This window comes from Homo sapiens, chromosome 21 (genome assembly GCF_000001405.40).
Source record: "Homo sapiens chromosome 21, GRCh38.p14 Primary Assembly".
In the NCBI taxonomy this organism is placed as follows: domain Eukaryota; kingdom Metazoa; phylum Chordata; class Mammalia; order Primates; family Hominidae; genus Homo; species Homo sapiens.
The window spans coordinates 45619216-45640851 of record NC_000021.9 but is presented as its reverse complement, the minus strand read 5'-3'; the positions used below and the strand labels follow the sequence as shown (position 1 = coordinate 45640851).

At 51.3% G+C, this 21636-nt stretch overlaps 4 annotated features.

Moving 5' to 3' along the window:
* Positions 3154–3671: an enhancer, noted in NCBI's record as "H3K4me1 hESC enhancer chr21:47057095-47057612 (GRCh37/hg19 assembly coordinates)". NCBI's record gives its function as "activates a minimal SCP1, AML or CMV promoter by ChIP-STARR-seq in primed H9 embryonic stem cells {active_cell/tissue: H9 hESC(primed)}" and the evidence as "EXISTENCE:reporter gene assay evidence [ECO:0000049][PMID:30033119]".
* Positions 3692–3791: an enhancer, noted in NCBI's record as "active region_18595". NCBI's record gives its function as "activates an Ori minimal core promoter by ATAC-STARR-seq in GM12878 lymphoblastoid cells {active_cell/tissue: GM12878}" and the evidence as "EXISTENCE:reporter gene assay evidence [ECO:0000049][PMID:35858748]".
* Positions 3802–3931: an enhancer, noted in NCBI's record as "active region_18594". NCBI's record gives its function as "activates an Ori minimal core promoter by ATAC-STARR-seq in GM12878 lymphoblastoid cells {active_cell/tissue: GM12878}" and the evidence as "EXISTENCE:reporter gene assay evidence [ECO:0000049][PMID:35858748]".
* Positions 6446–7645: an enhancer, noted in NCBI's record as "MED14-independent group 3 enhancer chr21:47053121-47054320 (GRCh37/hg19 assembly coordinates)". NCBI's record gives its function as "activates an origin of replication core promoter dependent on BRD2, BRD4, P300/CBP and CDK7 cofactors, and independent of MED14, by STARR-seq in HCT116 cells {active_cell/tissue: HCT116}" and the evidence as "EXISTENCE:reporter gene assay evidence [ECO:0000049][PMID:35650434]".

Sequence of the window (21636 nt, the reverse complement as noted above, 5' to 3'; positions counted from 1 at the left end):
GCAATCATAATAGTAATTAACGTCAAAACCTTGCAAGATGTTTAGGCCTCCCAGGAGCCCTGGAGAAGCCCAGCCCTTCCACATAACACCAGCACTCCCAGCGGCAGGGCCTCCATCCCCCTGCTGGGGAGGGAGATCCGGAGTCTGGGTGGAGTGTGTGGTCTCTGGCCTTCAGCAGGACTACACTCCAGGCTGAGCCTTTCCTCAGGCAGAATTCATACCCTTACCTCAGCCTACAACCCCAGCACACATGTTACCTAGGGGCAAATTAGTACTTTGCCCTCATGTCCTCTTCACAAAGCACTGGGGTAGAAGTCCTTCTTCCAGGGACCAGCAGCACCCAGCCCCTGCTTCCCCAGGCTCCTGCCCTGCACAGGGACCGCTGCCACTGCCCACCAAAAGCTGCTGGGGGGTGTTGGGGCTGGCTCAGCTGAGCTCACACAGGATCCTCTGATGGCCAAAGTGCTGGAGTGGAAATCAGAGACCAAGAAGCCAATCCCTGTGCCAGCTGCCCTGGTTAGGGAAATACAGAAACTAAAAATAGTTCCCACTTCCGCTTCCTCCTTTTTATATCAGCCTCATCATAAGTGCACCTGACCTAACTTACCTGGTGCTGTGGTGTTTGTACTTGGATTAGGTGAAGCAGCTCAGGGGTCCCCTCATGCCCTCTCCCCTGTCCCCCTGCTGAAGAGGCAGCTCCCACATGCGGCACTGCCTGACTGGCCCCTGGCCTGGGCCTGGGACCCTGCAGAGAGACAGCAAGCCATGGCCAGAAGGCTTGCAAGGTGCCCCCAGCTTGGGTGATGGTGACACCCAGAACAGGGCACTTCCTGGAAATGTGATCTGGAAGGGCAGTGGGCATGAGTGGAGCATGGAAAGAGACACCCAGGACGGACGGAGAGAGGCATCTGGTGTAGGTGGGGCTGCAGCCACCTCTCCTCTTCGGGGCTGGCAAGGTAACCCTTGCCCTGTGCCCCACAGCTGCCCTGATTTCCGGGTGTCTCCCAGAAGCACACTCTGCACTGCTTCTGCATCCCGGCCACTCCTTCAGTGTCCAGCCCCCTTCCCCAGCATAGAATGAACACAGAGAGGATGGGGAGTGCCTGCTCTGCCGACATGAGGGGCTGGCAGTGACATCTGTCCCTGTCATAGGCACAAAAAGTTATCAATGTTGGTAAGCTGGATTCAAGCCATGCACGGAAGCAGATGGCTCTGCCCCAAAGGGTAAAACATCCTGGAAGTGAATTGGATGGAGTCTCACATAGAGCAGCCCATCGGCTTCTCTGGCAGTGTGCCCTGGTTTTAGCAGAAAATAATCACAGGGTCTCTAATATCTGGCTGTGGAGAAGCACCCAGAACTCCCCCAGTTGCCCTCATGATCCCTAATGGACGAGGGATGGGTCCTGTGTCCTCTCAGCTCTTCACGCTAAGAAGCAAATGAATCCTTGGCCTGCCCCTCAGACTGGCATCTCCACAACTGGGATAGACATCTCAGGCCCTGGGGTCCATGAGTCACTGCTGACAGAGAGAGAGAGAAAGAGAGAGACAGAGACAGAGAGGGAGGAAAGAGCTCCTGCTGCCACCCTGGCGCCCTCAGGTGCCTCTCAGCCCTGGGGAGCAGTCCTCCTCTGCTCTGGGCCCCTCCCCCACTGCACACAGAGCACTCCCCCCTTGTCTTTTTTATATGTAAGTTTTCTTATATTTTGCATAAAGAAGAAATGCACACACCTCACACATGCACCAGAAACGTCACGGGTCATCCAGACCTTCCTTTTATTTTGGGAAGACTTTCAGCTCAGAGGTAGCCAGAATTCCGCCCCTTCTCTGTGTGCCTCAACGGGCACCATTAAGACTCTAAAATTAGAACAACTCTTTGTTTTGGTGCCGAGCCACCACGTCACTCCCACCCTCCCTCCAACCTCTGCTGGGTTCTCAGGAAGAGACTGGAGGGGGAAATGCAAAGCTTCCAAATCCCACAAAGAAAGCCCACCAGCTGCTGGGCAGACCAGCACAGGTGGGGCGTGCTGCAGATGCCCTTGCTTTGCCTACCGACAAGTAACACCTTAAGACTGACTTTATATCCATTTGCTGCTTTTTTATTAGGGCCACCTGAAACCTCTCTGTTGACATGAGTAATCCTCTGTAATATCTGTAGAGTGTAGAGATGGATTTAAACATGTGGAGCTGTTCAGCAGAGTATTCCCGTAAGAGAAAGAGAGTGGTGGGACAGGCTTGGCCCAGCCCACCAAGCCTTTATTTACTTAGGACCCCAAATTTCTTGGTGTCCCACCTCTGCCACAGTTTAGCAAGCACCTGCCTTCCTACTTTACTGGACTGGAAAATAAATACACATGCATTTAGTCTCCCTGCAACCAACGACCTCTGATAAGTGTTTTATGTTGAAAATTCAAGAACATAAATCATGAGAAATACACCATTAAAATGTAAATTAAGGGGGCAAAACCGTCCACTGTAGCTGCAGTCACAAATGGGGAGCGTAGGAACTGAGTCTGGCTCACAGAGGCTTCTTTTTAGCCCCCTCTCTCCCAATTGCCACCCCCCGGACCACCTAGGACTAGGCCAGTCTCTGCGTTTATGGTACCTGGGGAGCCTAGGAGTTTGCAAACCTATGATCAAAGGCTGGGAACAAAGCCAAGGTCAGGAGGGCTTGTGTGTACTGCCCTCTGGCCTCCCAGGTGAACGAGTCAGAAGTCCCACACCCAGAGAACAGGATGCACCCAGCAGGTGGGTTGCCACGGCAGGTTCCCTTCCTCCCTGCCTGACATCCAGATGATGGGGCCTCCTGGAAATGCACAGACGTGGCTCTCACATCTGTTGGCGTCCCTAGCTCCGTCAGCACTGGTCTCTCCTTTCCCGCCCGTTGCGGGTCCCCACTTAAATACTGAAAGGACAGGTGGAGGTGGAGGAGTCTGCTTGTCCACTCCCGAGTCCCGGGGCCGGCCATCGTGGAGAGCCAGGGGCGCTCCAGCTTGTCCACTCCCGAGTCCCGGGGCCGGCCATCGTGGAGAGCCAGGGGCGCTCCAGCTTGTCCACTCCCGAGTCCCGGGGCCGGCCATCGTGGAGAGCCAGGGGCGCTCCAGCTTGTCCACTCCCGAGTCCCGGGGCCGGCCATCGTGGAGAGCCAGGGGCGCTCCAGCTTGTCCACTCCCGAGTCCCGGGGCCGGCCATCGTGGAGAGCCAGGGGCGCTCCAGCTTGTCCACTCCCGAGTCCCGGGGCCGGCCATCGTGGAGAGCCAGGGGCGCTCCAGCTTGTCCACTCCCGAGTCCCGGGGCCGGCCATCGTGGAGAGCCAGGGGTGCTCCAGGCCGCTCCAGCTAGGGAGGCTCTGTGGGGTCGGCCCCACCGCATGCCACAGCTGCCCCACTAACCGCCAGCTCTGTGGCTGCCGTGTCAGCAGCCCTGGCCCACACAGGCTCTCTCCTGGAGCTCAGCAGGTCTACCCTTGCACACCTCTGGCCTAAAGGCCCCCAAAGGAGCTGGTGGCACTCACTCTGCTGGTATGGACACTACACGGAGGGTGCTTGTCAGCTGCTCAAAGAGGGCCTGCCAGAGAGCAGCTTCAACTCCACCCCAGCAGGCTCCACTGCTGCACCCACGCACGATGCTACTGCTGTTCCTTCTCTCTCGGGTCGCTATCCCTCTGCGGCAGGCAGAGCATGCTGTGCTGATCCTGTGAGCAGTCCTGTCCAAACCACAACCACGGTGGAGCAGCAGCATGCCAGCACCGCGGTCCGGGGGCTACTGGACACACGGAGTGGCAGGGCGCTGAGCTCCCCGGCACAGACTGCGGGTGCAGGACGGCACCAAGGACGGGAAGGCTCCAGGCTGGAGAAGCTGTGCCCGGTCACCAGCATGCCCATGGCCCTGTGCCTGGCGGCCCTTTGGGAGGGCTGCGAGGGGGCAGCGTGAATGCAGGAAAGAGGTGTGGAGCTGGGGCGCCACTGCGTGTGTGTGGGGGCCCAGAGGAGAGCAGTCCCTGCTGGCTGCTGGGGGCCAAGCTGAGAGCAGAAATGCACAGCCCTCCCCCAAACAAATGCACACCACACGCACATCGCACACACACATCACACACACACCACACACACACCACATACATACACATATCACACACCACACCACACACACATCATGCCACACACACAACCACACACATCACACACATACACATATCACACACCACACCACCACCACACACATCACACACACATATCACACACCACACCACACCACTACACACATCACACACATACACATATCACACACACATCACACCACGCACACCACCACACACACATCAACACACACCACCACACACACATCACACCACACACACACCACACACATCACACACACCACCACACACACATCACACACACATCACATACACACCACACACATCACACACACATCACACAGACCACACACATCACACACACACCACACACACATCACACACACACCACACACAACACACACATACACATATCACATGCACCACACCACACACACACCACCACACACATCACACACACACCACACACATACACATATCACATGCACCACACCACACACACATCACACACACCACACACGCCACCACACACATCACACACACACCACACACATGCCACCACACACACATCACACACCACACACATCACACACATACACATATCACACACACACACACCACACATCACACACACACCACACACATCACATACACATATCACATGCACCACACCACACACACGTCACACATATACACATATCACACACACCACACCACACACATACACATATCACACACACCACACACACACCACCACACACATCACACACACACCACACAGACGTCACACACACATCACACACACCACACACACATCACACACACACCACCCCACACATACACATATCACACACACCACATACACATCGCACACATTCACACACCACACCACGCATCACACACATTCACACACCACATGCACACACCAAATACACATCACACATTTACACATATCACACATATGCACACCACACACATCACACATATACACATATCACATGCACACGCACCACACATATACACATACACATCACACACATATCACACACATTCACACACACCACACACATCATATGAATACACATACACACATACACATATCATGTGTACATACATCACACACATACACCTGTTTACCACACACATACACGCCACACACATTCACATACACACACACCACACACTGCACACATGCACAAGCACATATCACACATGCCACACACATACATGTATATCACATACCCCACACATTACATGCAAACACATCACACACATATCACACACACCACACACACATACACATACTATGAATTAGACACACCACACATACACATAGCACACACATACGCACATAGTACACACACCACACACATATCACACACATACACACCACACATCACACACATACATCACATACCACACATACATCACACATATACACACCATACATACATCACACACAAACACATCACAGACATACATATCACATACATATCACACACATCATACACAAACATCACACAAATACATATCACAAACACACATATACTACACACACACGTACACCATACACACATACACATCACACACACATACACACACCACACATGCATACACACCACACACATACATCACATACAAACATACATCACACATATACATATCACACGCAACACACATACCTCACACATACATACACACACACCACACACACATACATCACACAGAAGCACATCACACACATACACACTCCACACAGATTCCACAGCACATACACATGCACACACACCGTCTGAGAACTCCAGCCTCGGAGACCCACATGCCCCAGAGGAGACTCGGCTGCATTCCCAGCCCACGGCTCCCACAGCAGCAGCCGGTTATGGAAAAACGTCTCCGTCTTCTGCTGGTCCCCGCCAACAAGAGTGCGATTCTTTGAAAAAAGAAAAGAAGTGAAACCTTGCAAGAAGTTCCCCAGGGATAGCACACATTTTAATGTGATAACTAATTGGCTCCAGCCCTCAAACCAGCCTCTGTTTTCAAACTAGATGGAGCTGATGTCACTGCTTTGGTGGGAAGGGGACGTAGTGGGAAGGAGGGGACAGGAAACCAGCCTCAAGGAGCCGGACTGCAGCCGCCGCAGCAGATGTGGGGTCTTCCCTGGGGCAGATCCGCCCAGCCTCTGGCCCGGGAAAGGTAGCTGTGGAGCTGTACCCGTGTTCTCCTCAATCCCCACCAGCACGGGGACCAGAAGCACTTCTCTGGTGTGGCCGGAACGGCAGCACGGCGTTCTCCTCAGTCCCACCAGCAGGGAGACCGGAAGCGCTTCACCGGCGTGGCCGGAACGGCAGCACGGCGTTCTTCTCAGTCCCACCAGCACGGGGACCGGAAGCGCTTCACGGCGTGGCCGGAACGGCAGCACGGCGCTCTCCTCAGTCCCACCAGCAGGGAGACCGGAAGCGCTTCACCGGCGTGGCCGGAACGGCAGCACGGCGTTCTTCTCAGTCCCACCAGCACGGAGACCGGAAGCGCTTCACGGCGTGGCCGGAACGGCAGCACGGCGTTCTCCTCAGTCCCACCAGCACGGAGACCGGAAGCACTTCTCTGGTGTGGCCGGAACGGCAGCACGGCGTTCTTCTCAGTCCCACCAGCACGGAGACCGGAAGCGCTTCACGGCGTGGCCAGAACGGCAGCACGGCGTTCTTCTCAGTCCCACCAGCACGGGGACCGGAAGCACTTCACCGGCGTGGCCGGAACGGCAGCACGGCGTTCTTCTCAGTCCCACCAGCACGGAGACCGGAAGCGCTTCACGGCGTGGCCGGAACGGCAGCACGGCGCTCTCCTCAGTCCCACCAGCAGGGAGACCGGAAGCGCTTCACCGGCGTGGCCGGAACGGCAGCACGGCGTTCTTCTCAGTCCCACCAGCACGGAGACCGGAAGCGCTTCACGGCGTGGCCGGAACGGCAGCACGGCGTTCTCCTCAGTCCCACCAGCACGGAGACCGGAAGCACTTCTCTGGTGTGGCCGGAACGGCAGCACGGCGTTCTTCTCAGTCCCACCAGCACGGAGACCGGAAGCGCTTCACGGCGTGGCCAGAACGGCAGCACGGCGTTCTCCTCAGTCCCACCAGCACGGGGACCGGAAGCACTTCACCGGCGTGGCCGGAACGGCAGCACGGCGTTCTTCTCAGTCCCACCAGCACGGGGACCGGAAGCGCTTCACGGCGTGGCCGGAACGGCAGCACGGCGTTCTCCTCAGTCCCACCAGCACGGAGACCGGAAGCACTTCTCTGGTGTGGCCGGAACGGCAGCACGGCGTTCTTCTCAGTCCCACCAGCACGGAGACCGGAAGCGCTTCACGGCGTGGCCAGAACGGCAGCACGGCGTTCTTCTCAGTCCCACCAGCACGGGGACCGGAAGCACTTCACCGGCGTGGCCGGAACGGCAGCACGGCGTTCTTCTCAGTCCCACCAGCACGGAGACCGGAAGCGCTTCACGGCGTGGCCGGAACGGCAGCACGGCGCTCTCCTCAGTCCCACCAGCACGGGGACCGGAAGCGCTTCACCGGCGTGGCCGGAACGGCAGCACAGGCTCCCAGCCCCGCGCTGCTCTCGGACTACCGAGGGTGTAGTCCACAGGGCCTTGAAGGCTGGGGGCTGCTGCATTGCTGCATCCTAACTGGGCCTGGTGAGCAGAACACGGGGGTGTCCTATCTGCCCTAGGAAATACCTGTGCACGGGACACTGGGAGCCAACCCCCAGGAAGACTCAGGGACCTACCCAGGAGTGAAGACCTGGGGGATCTAGTGACTCAGGGCATGCCAGGACATGTCTTCTATGTAAATGGCAAGTTGTTGCACCTTGAATCTTCTTCCTTTAAGAAGGAGGCACCGGCTTTGGTGGGCCTCTAGATTTCAGAGATAGCGTATGCCACAACTGGAACGAGTTCCAACCCACCTAGTATCAGAGCCAGAAAGTACCTGTTTCCAGTGGGACGCAGAGCAAGGGAAGGCTCCGCATCAGGTCCAGGCCACAGTGCAAGCTGTTGAGCCACTTGTTCTGTGGGATCAGCAGAGTCAATGGTTCTGGAAGTTCCTGTGGAGAGAACAGCATGGCAGTGCTTCTGGTGAATACTGATATGACAGTCACAGAACATCCCTTGGAGTTATCAAGCAAGGCCGTGCCTTCAGTGCCAAAGAACCACCCTCCATTTCAAAAGCAACTGTGGGCATGCTTGGCGTTAGCAGAGACTGACTACGCAACTCAACGGTCAAGTGACTGTGTGAGCAGAGCTGCCATGTGAGCTGGCTATCATCAGTGCACCGAGCCACAGGTGGGTGACTGCAGGGACAGCCCAGCGCACAAGGGAAACAGCCTGAGCAGGTTCAGAGGACACAGGTGCATTCCGGGTGCTGCGGAGTCTGTGCTGTCTGCCCCCATGCACCGTTACTCTTTGTCTGATTATAGCCACACTCTCGCGGGGGTTCCCTGTGGTAACTGATAGAGGAAGACGGAAACACTGCCACGTTTCTAGCCAGAAACACAGATGCAGCAGCACAATATGTTGGTTCCAGCTGGGCATGGATGCTGCCACCCTACGACCCCTCTGGGTGCAGGAAGTCCTCCTGGTCAGAGCTGTGCACACAGCACTCAAGGCCACAGTTCTGTGGAACAAATGCTAAACACCGCATGGTAAGTATCTTCACAGGCTCCTAGGCAAGCAACCCAAAAGGAGCAAGATCAGAACATTGGAAATAATAAATGTGAGGGAAGAGGCAGGCAGGTGGTCCTACAAAAGAGGGCCCCACACATGGAGGCATTTGTGTCTTACGTTAACACACGCCAGGAAGCATCTCCTGCAGAGGACGCAATAGGCCACCAGGCTGACTGGATGGCCGGACAGTGGCCACGAGCCAGCCTGTGCCATCAGCCAACTGAGCCAGGAACAGAGCACACCAGAGAGAAAGGCTGAAAGCTTGGCCTGGGCCCAGCAGCATGGGTCTCCTCATCAAGGCTGGCTTGCTAGAGCACGGACCAGCACCGTTTCTGACCTGGCCCTGCTCTTGGGGGAGACCAGCCTGCCTCGTGGAGGCAAACCAATGACCTCAAACTCCTCTCGCCTTGGAGGAGAGGGCAACTCATCCTTACAGAACTTGACCCGCACTCGGGGTGTGGGGCTGTCTTCCCACCCTCCCTGTGTCTTCCAGCTCCCCTGGCAGTGGCTTTCAGAATTTGAACCTCACTGACTTGCTGACATAGAAGATTAAAGACGCTCACAAATTCTTTGACAGCCCTCCCATCAAAAGGTGAAACCTGTGTTCCTTGTCTTTGAAACTGGGCGGGTTCTTTGGCCAATACAGTATAGTAGAAGCAATGCTGTGCCATTTCTGGGGTCGACCTTCAAATTCTTCCCTCTGGGATTGCTCACTCTGGGAAAAGCCAGCCAGCACATAAGATCCAACTGTGCTGGCCTTACCATGCCGTGAGGAAACCCCAGCTGGACAAAGGGAGGGGCTTCATAGAAGGAGAGATCCCTGCAGCAGATACAGCGTCCCAGTGAAGAAGCTTTCAGACGATTCCAGCCTCGGCCACCATCTGACCGCGTCCCAGTGAAGAAGCTTTCGGACGATTCCAGCCTCGGCCGCCATCTGACCGCATCCCAGTGAAGAAGCTTTCGGACGATTCCAGCCTCGGCCGCCATCTGACCGCGTCCCAGTGAAGAAGCTTTCGGATGATTCCAGCCTCGGCCGCCATCTGACTGCACCCATGTGAAGGACCAACATGAGAACAGAACACCGGGCTGATCCTGCCGGCCCCCAGCACAGTGAGAGATAACACATTGGGGTTTCAGGCCACTAAGTTCGTAGGTGGCTCCTTATGCTGCATTAAACATTTATGACAGTATTTCACAAAGCACCTGCCTTGCACCCAGAGACCTCTTCAAGGTAAAGAAGGTCTGATGACGGGCACTTGACCATGGAATTCACTGGCGTTACCACAGACCCATCACCCAGAAGCAGTCAGCCTACCAGTGAAGGGAGACTTGCGAATGGCCCGGCATGGGCGGCAGCTCTAAGAAAGCCTGGGCCCGTCTGGCCCAGGAACTGCACTCCAGGACGTAGGATCCGTGCTGAGCCCATGGTCAGGAAATGATCCCGTGTCCCTGGGACCTTGCATACAAAGCTCTGAGGACCCCAGGGACAGAAGCCAGTTTGGCCCCTCCCCAGCACACACGGTGAACGGCTTGCATGGCTGTGCTTCCTGGGGCTGAAGTCTGAGGCTCTCTTGGACTGGAACCCTTGACCCCCTGGTTGAGGGGAGGCTCCTGCCAGCGTACACAGGTTGCTGCAAGACTAGAAGCCATGACCACCATTTGGCCACTTTGGCCTCCTCGTGCCAGTGGGCAAGCCACACATGCACTTACCGTACCTGTGAAAGGGCCAGGCTCTGAACACCATGGAGATCTCTGGGGTTGGGGGGGTGCCAGGCTCAGAACACTGTGGAGATCAGGATGAGGGGGCCAGGCTTCGAACATCATGGAGATGGTGGGGGCCAGGCTCCGAAAACGGTGGAGATAGGGGTGGGGGGGCCAGACTCTGAACAACATGGAGATGGGGAGTGGGCAGGCTCTGAACACCGTGGAGATCGAGGCTTGCTTCTGTACCACGGGGCCAACGAGGGGAATGCCTGCAGCTGACAGCTTGCTGGGGCACTTCGGGATCTGCACTGAGTGGCAGCTGTAATCACAGCAACCATGGCCCATCCAATGCAGGATGACCGAGGCCTGGGTGCCATGGGGCGAACAGTTCAGACCAAGGCTCAGCTGAGGGAGGCCAGTCTAGGATGTGGGGAGGGCAAGGAGAGGATAGTATGGGGTTTGGCCCCAGGATTAGCGGTGTCAGCAGGGACCATAGCCTGATGCGGCAGCCCTTTTAATGGCTTTTCAGTAGATTACAACCAGAGAACCCCTGGAGAAATTGCACTTGCACCACCCCTCAGGAACCAGGGCTGTCCATTCCCGGGTGAGACACGTGGGGTGGGCTGTCATCGGTTCCAGGGCCATCCATTCCCAGGTGAGACACGCAGGGTAGGCTGTCATCAGTTCCAGGGCCATCTGTTCCTGGGTGAGACTTGCGGGGTGGACTGTCTCGGGTTCCGTTCAGGTCACTGAGGCTGGCATGGTCGTCTTGCTGTCGGGCTTGAGCAGCGATTGCGAACGTCCCTCCCGGCTCCTGCATGCACGTCTCGGGTTCCGTTCAGGTCACTGAGGCTGGCATGGTCGCCTTGCTGTCCGGCTTGAGCAGCCATTGCGAACATCCCTCCCGGCTCCTGTGTGCACAGCTAGGTGGCTGCTGTTGCTCCTGCAGCCATGGCCAGTTCCTGGGTCCCTGGAGAGCTGTTTCTGGGCCCACCCATCAGGTATCAACAAACCCAACAACACCCAGCTCCGATAGCGCTGGAGGCCTCTTGCTTAGTTTCTCAGGGCTCTCTTATTGCCTGTGATGGGGGAGATGCATCGGAAGCTGTCTGCCACCTGCACGCAGAGTCTGAGGTGAAATGAGGCCAGCAACAGGAACTGGCATGTCCGCCCTGTCCCACTCCTCTCCCTGCTCCACTGATCAGAGATGCAGGAGCTTCACGCAGTCCCTGAGGAGAAGCATGGAGCCAGACGTCAGCCGGCAGTGGACAGTGACCTCCCTGAGAGTCACCTTCCTCCCTTTCTTGCCTCAGTCCCCTCTTCCCACTCCTGTTTCCTGGGATTGCACTCCCCAGAAAAATACAGGCACAAGACTTTTGCCTCAGGTTCTGTTTGCTCAGGGAGCTAGGCTAACAATATACAAACACCATAATAAAGTGTTGGCTATCCAGCCTTGTTCAAAAGAAAGAAAGATACAGAATCATGGTGTCGGAAAACAGAGACAATTTGACTTCCTCTCTTCCTATTTGAATATGCTTTATGTCTTTCTCTTGCCAATTGCCCTGGCCAGAACTTCCAATACTATGTTGAATAGGAGTGGTGAGAGAGGGCATCCTTGTCTTGTGCCAGTTTTCAAAGGGAATGCTTCCAGCTTTTGCCCGTTCACTATGATATTGGCTGTGGCTCTGTCATAAATAGCTCTTATTATTTTGAGATATGTTCTGTCGATACCTAGTTTATTGAGAGTTTTTAACATGAAGGATGTTGAATTTTATCAAAGGCCTTTTCTGCATCTTTTGAGATAATCATGTGGTTTTGTCTTTGGTTATATTTATGTGATGGATTATGTTTATTGATTTGCATATGTTGAACCAGCCTTGCATCCCAGGGATGAAGCCGACTTGATCATGGTGGATAAGCTTTTTGATGTGCTGCTGGATTTGGTTTGCCAGTATTTTATTGAAGATTTTCACATCGATGTTCATCAGGGATATTGCCCTGAAGCTTCCTTTTTTTGTTGTGTCTCTGCCAGGTTTTGGTATCAGGATGATACCAAAAGAGTTAGGGAGGATTCCCTCCTTAAATTTCGAAAACCCCATCGTCTCAGCCCAAAATCTCCTTAAGCTAATAAGCAACTTCAGCAAAGTCTCAGGATACAAAATCAAAGTGCAAAAAACACAAGCATTCCTATACACCAATAATAGACAAACAGAGAGCCAAATCATGAATGAACTCCCACTCACAATTGCTACAAAGAAAATAAAATACCAAGGAATACAGCTAATAAGGGAAGTGAAGGACCTCTTCAAGGAGAACTACAACCCACTGCTCAAGGAAATAAGAGAGAACACAAACAAATGGAAAAACATTCCATGCTCATGGATAGGAAGAATCAATATCATGAAAATGGCCATACTGCCCAAAGTAATTTATAGATTCAATGCTATTCCCATTAAACTACCATTGATATTCTTCACAGAATTAGAAAAAAAAACTTTAAATTTATTTTTTCTTTCTTTCTTTTTTTTTTTTTTGAGACGAGTCTTGCTCTGTCACTTAGACTGGAGTGCAGTGGCGTGATCTCGGCTCGCCACAACCTCTGCCTCCCAGGCTTAAGTGATTCTCCTGCCTCAGCCTCCCAAGTAGCTGGGACTACAGGTGCCTGCCACCACACCCGGCTAATTTTTGTATTTTTAGTAGAGATGGGCTTTCACCATGTTGGCCAGGCTGGTCTTGAACTCCTGACCTCAAATGATCCGATCACCTTGGCCTCCCAAATTGTTGGGATTACATGCATGAGCCACCATGCCCGGCCTAAATTTCTTATGGAACCAAAGAAGAGCCCATATAGCCAAAACAATCCTAAGCAAAAAGAACAAAGCTGGAGGCATCCCACTACCTGATTTCAAACTATACTATAAGGCTACAGTAACCAAAACAGCATAGTACTTATACCAAAACAGACAAATAGACAAATGTAACAGAACAGAGACCTCAGAAATAACACCACACATCTACAACCATCTGATCTTCGACAAACCTGACAAAAACAAGCAATGGGGAAAGTATTTCCTATTCAATAAATGGTGCAGGAAGAACTAGCTAGCCATATGCAGAAAACTGAAACTGGATCCCTTCCTTACATCTTATACAAAAATTAATTCAAGATGTATTAAAGAGTTAAATGTAAAACCCCAAACCATAAAAACCCTAGAAGAAAACCTAGGCAATACCATTCAGAACATAGGAATGGGCAAAGACTTCATGAGAAAAATGCCAAAAGCAATTGCAACAAAAGCCACAGTTGACAAATGGGATGGAATTAAACTAAAGAGCTTCTGCAAAGCAAACGAAACTATCATCAGAGTGAACAGGCAACCTACAGAATGGGAGAAAATTTTTGCAATCTACCCATCTAACAAAGGTCTAATATCCAGACTCTACAAGGAACCTAAACAAATTTACAAGAAAAAAAACCTCCCATCAAAAAGTGGGTAAAGGATATGAACAGACACTTCTCAAAAGAAGACATTTATGCAGCCAACAAACATATTTAAAAAAAGGCTCTACATCACTGATCATTAGAGAAATGAAAATCAAAACCACAATGAGATACCATCTCACACCAGTCAGAACAGGGATTATTAAAAAGCCAAGAAACAATAGATGCTGGAGAGACTGTGGAAAAATAGGAAACTTTTACACTGTTGGTGGGAATGTAAATTAGTTCAACCATTGTGGAAGACAGTGTGGCGATTCCTCAAGGATCTAGAGCCAGAAATACCATTTGATCCAGCAATCCCATTACTGGATATATACCCAAAGGATTGCAAATCATTCTACTATAAAGACACCTGCACATATATGCTTATTGCAGCACTATTTACAATAGCGAAGACATGGAACCAACCCAAATGCCTATCAATGATAGACTGGATGAAGAAAATGTGGCACATATACACCATGGAATACTATGCAGCCACAAAAAGGAATGAGATCATGTCCTTTGCAGGGACATGGATGAAGCTGGAAGCCATCATTCTCAGCAAACTAACACAGTACCAGAAAACCAAACACTGCATGTTCTCACTCATAAGTGGGAGCTGAACAATGAGAACACATGGACACAGGGAGGGAAACAACACATACTGGAGCCTGTTGGGGGGTGGGGGGCGAGGGGAGGGAAGCTAGAGGATGGGTCAGTAGGTGCAGCAAACCACCATGGCACATGTATACCTATGTAACAAACCTGCATGTTCTGCACATGTATCCCAGAACTTAAAGTAAAATAAAAAAGATTTAAAAAGAAAGAGAACTTCATTAGTGCCCAAACTAAGCAAGATGTCACAGCCCCAGTTGTCATGGGAGCTGATGCTGGAAGCAGCCCTCAGGGAAGAGGGATCAGAAACAGGCCCTGGAGGGGTGAGGGTTGGGTTTTATTTCAGATGGGGTAAAAGAGATGGCCCTGGCTGCCACAGCAGGGACAGCAGCCTCCTATATGGTCATTAGGCCACGAGGGCTCTGCCCTCATCCATGACATTTCTTTTCTTTCTTTATTTTTTTGAGACAGGGTCTTGCTCTGCTGCCCGGGCTGGAGTGCAGTGGCACAATCATGGCTCACTGCAGCCTTGACCTCCTGGGCACAAGCGATCCTCCCACCTCAGCCTCCTGAGTAGCTGGGACCACAGGTGTGCACCACCGCACCCAGCTAAGGATACTGGCAAGGTCAAGACCCTGAAGGGCCATCTCATCCATGAAAAAAAGACTAGGTAAGTTTCACCCTCTGCTCTAAAATATCAGCAAAGACATTTTCCCTCTGCCTAGAGATATTAATGAAAAAAAAAAAGCTCCCCAAAGAGATAAATGAATATGTGACATGTGACAATGTGAAATCTGAATTTCCACTCACCCTTGTGTGACATGTGACAATATGAAATCTGAATTTCCACTCACCCTTGTGTGACACGGGACAATATGAAATCTGAATTTCCACTCACCCTTGTGTGACACGGGACAATATGAAATCTGAATTTCCACTCACCCTTGTGTGACATGGGACAATATGAAATCTGAATTTCTACTCACCCTTGTGTGACATGGGACAACATGAAATCTGAATTTCCACTCACCCTTGTGTGACATGGGACAATATGAAATCTGAATTTCCACTCACTCTTGGTGTGTGGAAATCTCAGCGAAGAAAGTAAAATGAAAACTTGTTTAATGTGATTGAAGTCTCTGGTGCCTGGAAGGAAGCAAATACATGTCTCCCTGGAAGGAAACTCCTGCAACCTGAAAGACGGGCTTGTTCTAACGATGTCCAAGCTCCGCGAGGGAGAGAAACACGTGAGAAAGCATCACAGGTTGAGGAATGTAAGTTTTGTGTCCTCCAGAGCTAAAGATGCACTAAAGAATCAAAACAATAATAAAATCAAGGGCAACACGAATAAACAAATGGTTTAGAAATGAACAACATAATCACAGAACTTAAAGGAAAGGCGACAACCAGATGAGACACCGTAGAAATGAGAACAAACAAGCTAGAATGCAGAGATGAGAAAATTATCCAGAAAACAGCAGAGAAAAGCCTTAAAATATTCAGGATCTGGGTCAGGACGAGATGTGAAAAGCAGAATGAGCCATGTAGCAGAGGCAGCATCTGTCAGTTCCCGCTGCTGTAACAAAACACCTGAGGCTGGGCGAGCTGTAAACAGCATGAGTTTATGGCTCACAGTTTGGAGGTGGGAAGTCCAAGATCAAGGTGCCGGCAAGTTTGGTGTCTGGTGAGGACTGTCTCTGCTTCCAAGACGGTGCCCTGTGGCTGCGTCCTCATGTGGTGGATGATGCAAGGGCAAAAAGGGCCCAGCCAGTTCTTTTCAGCCTTTTTATAAGGCACTCACCTCATCTGTCAGCCTGGGCAACATAGTAAGACCCTGTCTCTACAGAAAATTTTAAAATTAGGCTGGGCACAGTGGCTCACACCTGTAATCTCGGCACTTTGGGAGGCTGAGGCGGGTAGATCACCTGAGGTCAGGAGTTCAAGACCAGCCTGACCAACATGGAGAAACCCCGTCTCTACTAAAAAAATACAAAATTAGCAGGGTGTGGTGGTGCATGCCTGTAATCCCAGCTACTCGGGAGGCTGAGGCAGAAGAATCACTTGAACCCAGGAGGCGGAGGTTGCAGTGAGCTGAGATCTTGCCATTGCACACCAGCCTGGGCAACAAGAATGAAACTCCATCTCTCAAAAAAAAAAAAAAAAAAAGATTTTTAAATTAGCCAGGTATGGTGGTGCGTGCTGTAGTCCTATCTATTCAGGAGGCTGAGGTCGGAGGATCACTTGAACCCAGGAGGTCAAGGCTGCAGTGAGCCAGGATTGCACCAATGCACTCCAGCCTGGGCAACAGAATGAGACTCTGTCTCCAAAAAGGAAAAGGAAAGAAATGTCACTCCTGAGGGCAGAGTCCTCGTGGCCTAATGACCTCCAAAAGCCCCATTTCTTAACGCTAGCTCGGGTTCCCACACATGAATCTGGGGGACACGTATATGAACCACAGCAGGCAGTGATGAGAGAGGGAAGAAGGTGAGGTTCAAGGAGATGGTGACTCAAAATTCTCCAGAATGTGAAATGCTTTTGTCTACTTGGGCTGCCATGAGAAGTGCCACAGACGGGGCGGCTTAAACGAGGCACATTGTCCCGGAGGCTGGAAGTCCAAGGTCAGGGTGCCATGGGGCCAGTTCCTCTGGGACCTCTCCCCTGGGCTTGCAGATGGCATCTTCTCCCTGTGTCCTCACAGGGCCATCCCTCTTGCGTGTCTGTGTCCTCATCCCTTCTTCCTCTAAGGGCATCAGTCACACTGGGTTAGGCTCACCCTAACATCCCCATTTTAAATCAATGACCCATCTCCTGATACAGTCCCATTCTGAGGTCTGGGGATTAGGACTTCAACACAGGAATTTGGGGAGGGGGAGGACACCGTTCAGCCTGTAACAGAAAATGACTAAAGACAGAAAAAGAGGAAAGCAGCACCCTGAGGCTTTGGCAAGATTAAAACACAGAATCTCAAAAGTGGAGAGGAGCTTGAAGGTAACTGGAGAGAAAAGGTAAATGCCGTCAAGGAGGAAGGACCAGAGCGACAGGAGGGGCCAGCAGTGCCTCAGATGCCAGAGAAAGAGCGACATCTTCCCCGCCAGGAGGGGAGCCGGCCCCTGAGCACGGGCCCAGGAGGGGAGCGGGCCCCTGAGAACGGGCCCAGCTGAACTGTCATCCAGCCGGGAGCTGGGGTCAGTGTCGGTTCAGAGTGACCACTGAACGTTATGGCCCAGCAAGAAGGAAACTGAACCCAGAAGGAAGCCGTGGGATGCAGGGCCTGGAGCGCGAAGCCTGAATAAGCCTGGGGCATGAGATGAGCCATGCAGTGAGGGGTGTGGGGACTGCGGGGAAGACGGGGCTGAGACAGCAGAGCCTCATCTGCAGGAGGACACTGGGGATTCTTGCCGTCACTCCTCGACCTGACCCTAGGGCCGTGAAGCATCATTGCGGTGGCCTGTCTGCCACGTTTTGGAAACAGCCACCCTTTGGCCACAGGCTGGCAGCTAGATCTGCCTTGGGGGCCCACACGGGCTTGAAAGCTCTCCTAGATTGTTTGTCAGGAAGTTCCAGGCTTCGGGGACCCAGGATGTGGTTCCCCAGGGCAGGAGTGTGGGATCCAGGTGGAGACACCCCGTTGGCCCCACAGATTTCCTGTCCTTCTGTGGGAGAGGCAGGTCAGACCAGACAGGCTCTGGGCGGAATCCCTCAGATCCAGGTTACATGAGCCTGATGGCATGGGTGCACACACGTCTCACTCTGCTTTCAGTAACTATCCCCCTCCAGGTGGATAAGTGGCTTTTTTTTTTAAGTTAAGTTCCGGAGTACATGTGCACAATGTGCAGGTTTGTTACATATGTATATGTGTGCCATGTTGGTGTGCTGCACCCATTAACTTGTCATTTACGTTAGGTATATCTCCTAATGCTATCCCTCCCCCCTCCCCCAACCCCACAACAGGCCCTGGTGTGTAATGTTCCCCACCCTGTGTCCAAGTGATCTCATTGTTCAATTCCCACCTATGAGTGAGAACATGCAGTGTTTGATTTTCTGTCCTTGTGATAGTTTGTTCAGAATGATGGTTTCCAGCTTCATCCATGTCCCTACAAAGGACATGAACTCATCCTTTTTTATGGCTGCATAGTATTCCATGGTGTATATGTGCCACATTTGCTTAATCCAGTCTATCATTGATGAACATTTGGGTTGGTTCCAAGTCTTTGCTATTGTGAATAATGCTGCAATAAACATACGTGTGCATGTGTCTTTATAGCAGCATGATTTATAATCCTTTGGGTAGGATAAGTGGCTTTAAGAGACACACACACACAGCCCCACAGCCTGGAGACAAGCAGCTCACGCCACACGTGGAAGAGAAGGCATTGACCCTGCTGGCTCTCCAGCCTGTGGATGCCCGCACAGGCACTGTCCTCACACTCCAGGCAGGCCTGAGATCGGGGCGCTGCTGGCAGTCTTAACAAAAAGCAAAAGAGCTGACATAATCTCTCTCCCTTCCAGGTAAAAACGAAGTTTTTAGCAATCACTGAAAAAGTAGCTGCCCTTAGAGGCAGGTGCTGGGAGAGGCTGCTGGGGAAGCAGACATTTGGAACGGTTTCCGAATGTCATGTGACCTTCTTGCCAAAACCTGTTAAACTTGTCACCTGTAACAACTCTCATATTTGCTCATCCTTAAAATATAGAAATGTTTTCTCTAACCTGTTAAAAAAAAGTATTCTAAATCAAAGGTTTCAGTGAGGCTTGAAGCCATTTGTTAAAAATATATGAATGCAACTCTTTCCAATTAGTTTGCAAGAACGGGGATTGGTATCAGGGAAGACGGAAATTTACCAGCTGAATTTCACCAAAAGCTGGTGCATAATTGATAGATGGGGTGAAACCAAGAATATTATGATTCTGTACATGCAGCCAACAATCCACTTTTTAATTTGAATTTGCAAATTTTTGAGGTGTTCTTTTTAGCTATAATAGCCAACTATTCAAACAAGCTAGTGTTAGACCAGACTCTTGAAATCGCAGTTTCACAGCGTGCTAAATCAAGGCATTTAAGGAAGCCGACATTAATTCACTAAATAGAATTATGATTATTAATTTTACATTAGTAAAATGTTAAATTGAGTACACAATGTTTTTAATAATAAGTGAAACATTTGGAAATATTGTTTATTTCATTTTATCTCATCCTTTCTCATGTTTGTGCATGTTTTTAGTGTATTTTTAATTGGATTACATATATTTGGGGAAATTTGCTCAGATGCTTTTTACTGATGAGCTGGATGACCAAAAAAAGTTTAAAGACCACTCATCAAGCTGAAGAATTAGGAAAAAAAAAATTTAAAGAGCTAAAAAATACATAAAATGCCGAGGAGAAATCGGAAGCAGCAGAGAAGAAGGTGCAGTCGGCCAGGAGTTTCATCCAGAAGCTGTTTTTGTTCATTCATTCCCACAATGAACGTACAAAGTAAAGCCCTGCCCGGGCCCCCAACTGGAAAACACGGATAATAACAGTCCCTCTCTGGGGCTGGTCAGAGGATGAGCAAACAGACATAAATCATTAGTGCCCAGCACATGGCAATTGCTATATAAAGGCTGCAATTCTGATGAGGTTGAACTGTATGAACTTGCCACTGTTCAACTGTCTGACCTACAAATCAGTATTCATCATTCTCCCAATGGCAGAGATGAGGAAAATGAGGCATGGAGGCATTAGAGGAACGTGGCAGCTCGTATTTTCCAAAAATGCAGTGTTTCCTGGCATAGATGTCCTGCCCATACATCCTTCCAGAACTTGCTACTGGCCCACGAAGAGGCAAGGCCTGTGTCCGCTCCCCTTGACCCTGACTGGACTTGTGGGCCGTTTCAATTCAGAAGATGGAGTGGGTGATGCCCTGTGACTTCTGAGGTCAGGCTAGAAAACACAATTCAGCTTTTTCCTGGCTCTGTCTCTCAGGGGCTAATCCCTCTGGAGCCCCGAGCTGCCATGTAAAACATCCACTAGCCTGAAGTGAGCCAGGCTGGAGACCTAGTGGAGGTAGATGGGGCTCCACAGGACCTGGTTGTTCTAAAACCGCCTTTGCAAAAATTATAACTGAGGAAATGATGACAGTGAAAGAGGTCAGACCCCACCAACTGCATCTTGCTTCTAGTCCTTAAGCTGCTCTTGTTCATTCCTGGGTGTAGGCTGAGCTAACCTAGGGAAGGAATTTAGTTTATGGTTTGACTCTGAAACAAAATTGATAATAGCCCTTTCCTGAGAGGACCCCCTTCTTGCCTTGGGACCAGTCTGCCTTTGCAGGACTAACAAATTAGCTACAAGATTAGAAATTATGGTTTAGGGGGACATGCAGCCTCTGGCTGCAAGAGTCTGAACCTCCCCACATTGATCCTGGGGATAACATCACTATCGTAAAACCTAAGATCAGTGCATGAGGTATTCTGCAGACCCTGCACTTGATGGATCAGCTGACACTACCCGACCGGTCATCTGGATCAGCCAGTTCTGCCATCACACCCAGAAACAGAAGACAGCAAGAAAAACTCACTTTGACCCCCTATGATTCCATCTCCAGCCTGACCAATCAGCACTTTTCTCTTCATAAGCCCCTACTTGCCAAATTATCTTTAAAAACTCCGATCCCTGAATGCTCGGGGAGACAGATTTGAGCAATAATGAATCTCGGGTCTCCTGCACAGTCAGCTCTGTGTGTTACTCTTTCTCCATTGGAATTCCCCTGTCTTGATAAATCAGCTCTGTCTAGGCAGTGGGCAAGGTGAACCCACTGGGCAGTTAGAGTTCCAGTCCCAGGCACAGGTGAACAAGCCTCCGAGGTTCCCCAGCACCATTCAGTGCACACAAGAGCCGGCCAGCTGAGCCCTGCCAACACAGAACCAACACAGACAAGAATACACACCATTGCCATTGCTCTAAGCCACTAGGTGTTGGGCTGCTGGTTACCCAATCCTGGTAACTGAAACAAGTAGCTTTGCTGAGTCACTACAATGCTGGTCAATGCTGCAGCCTC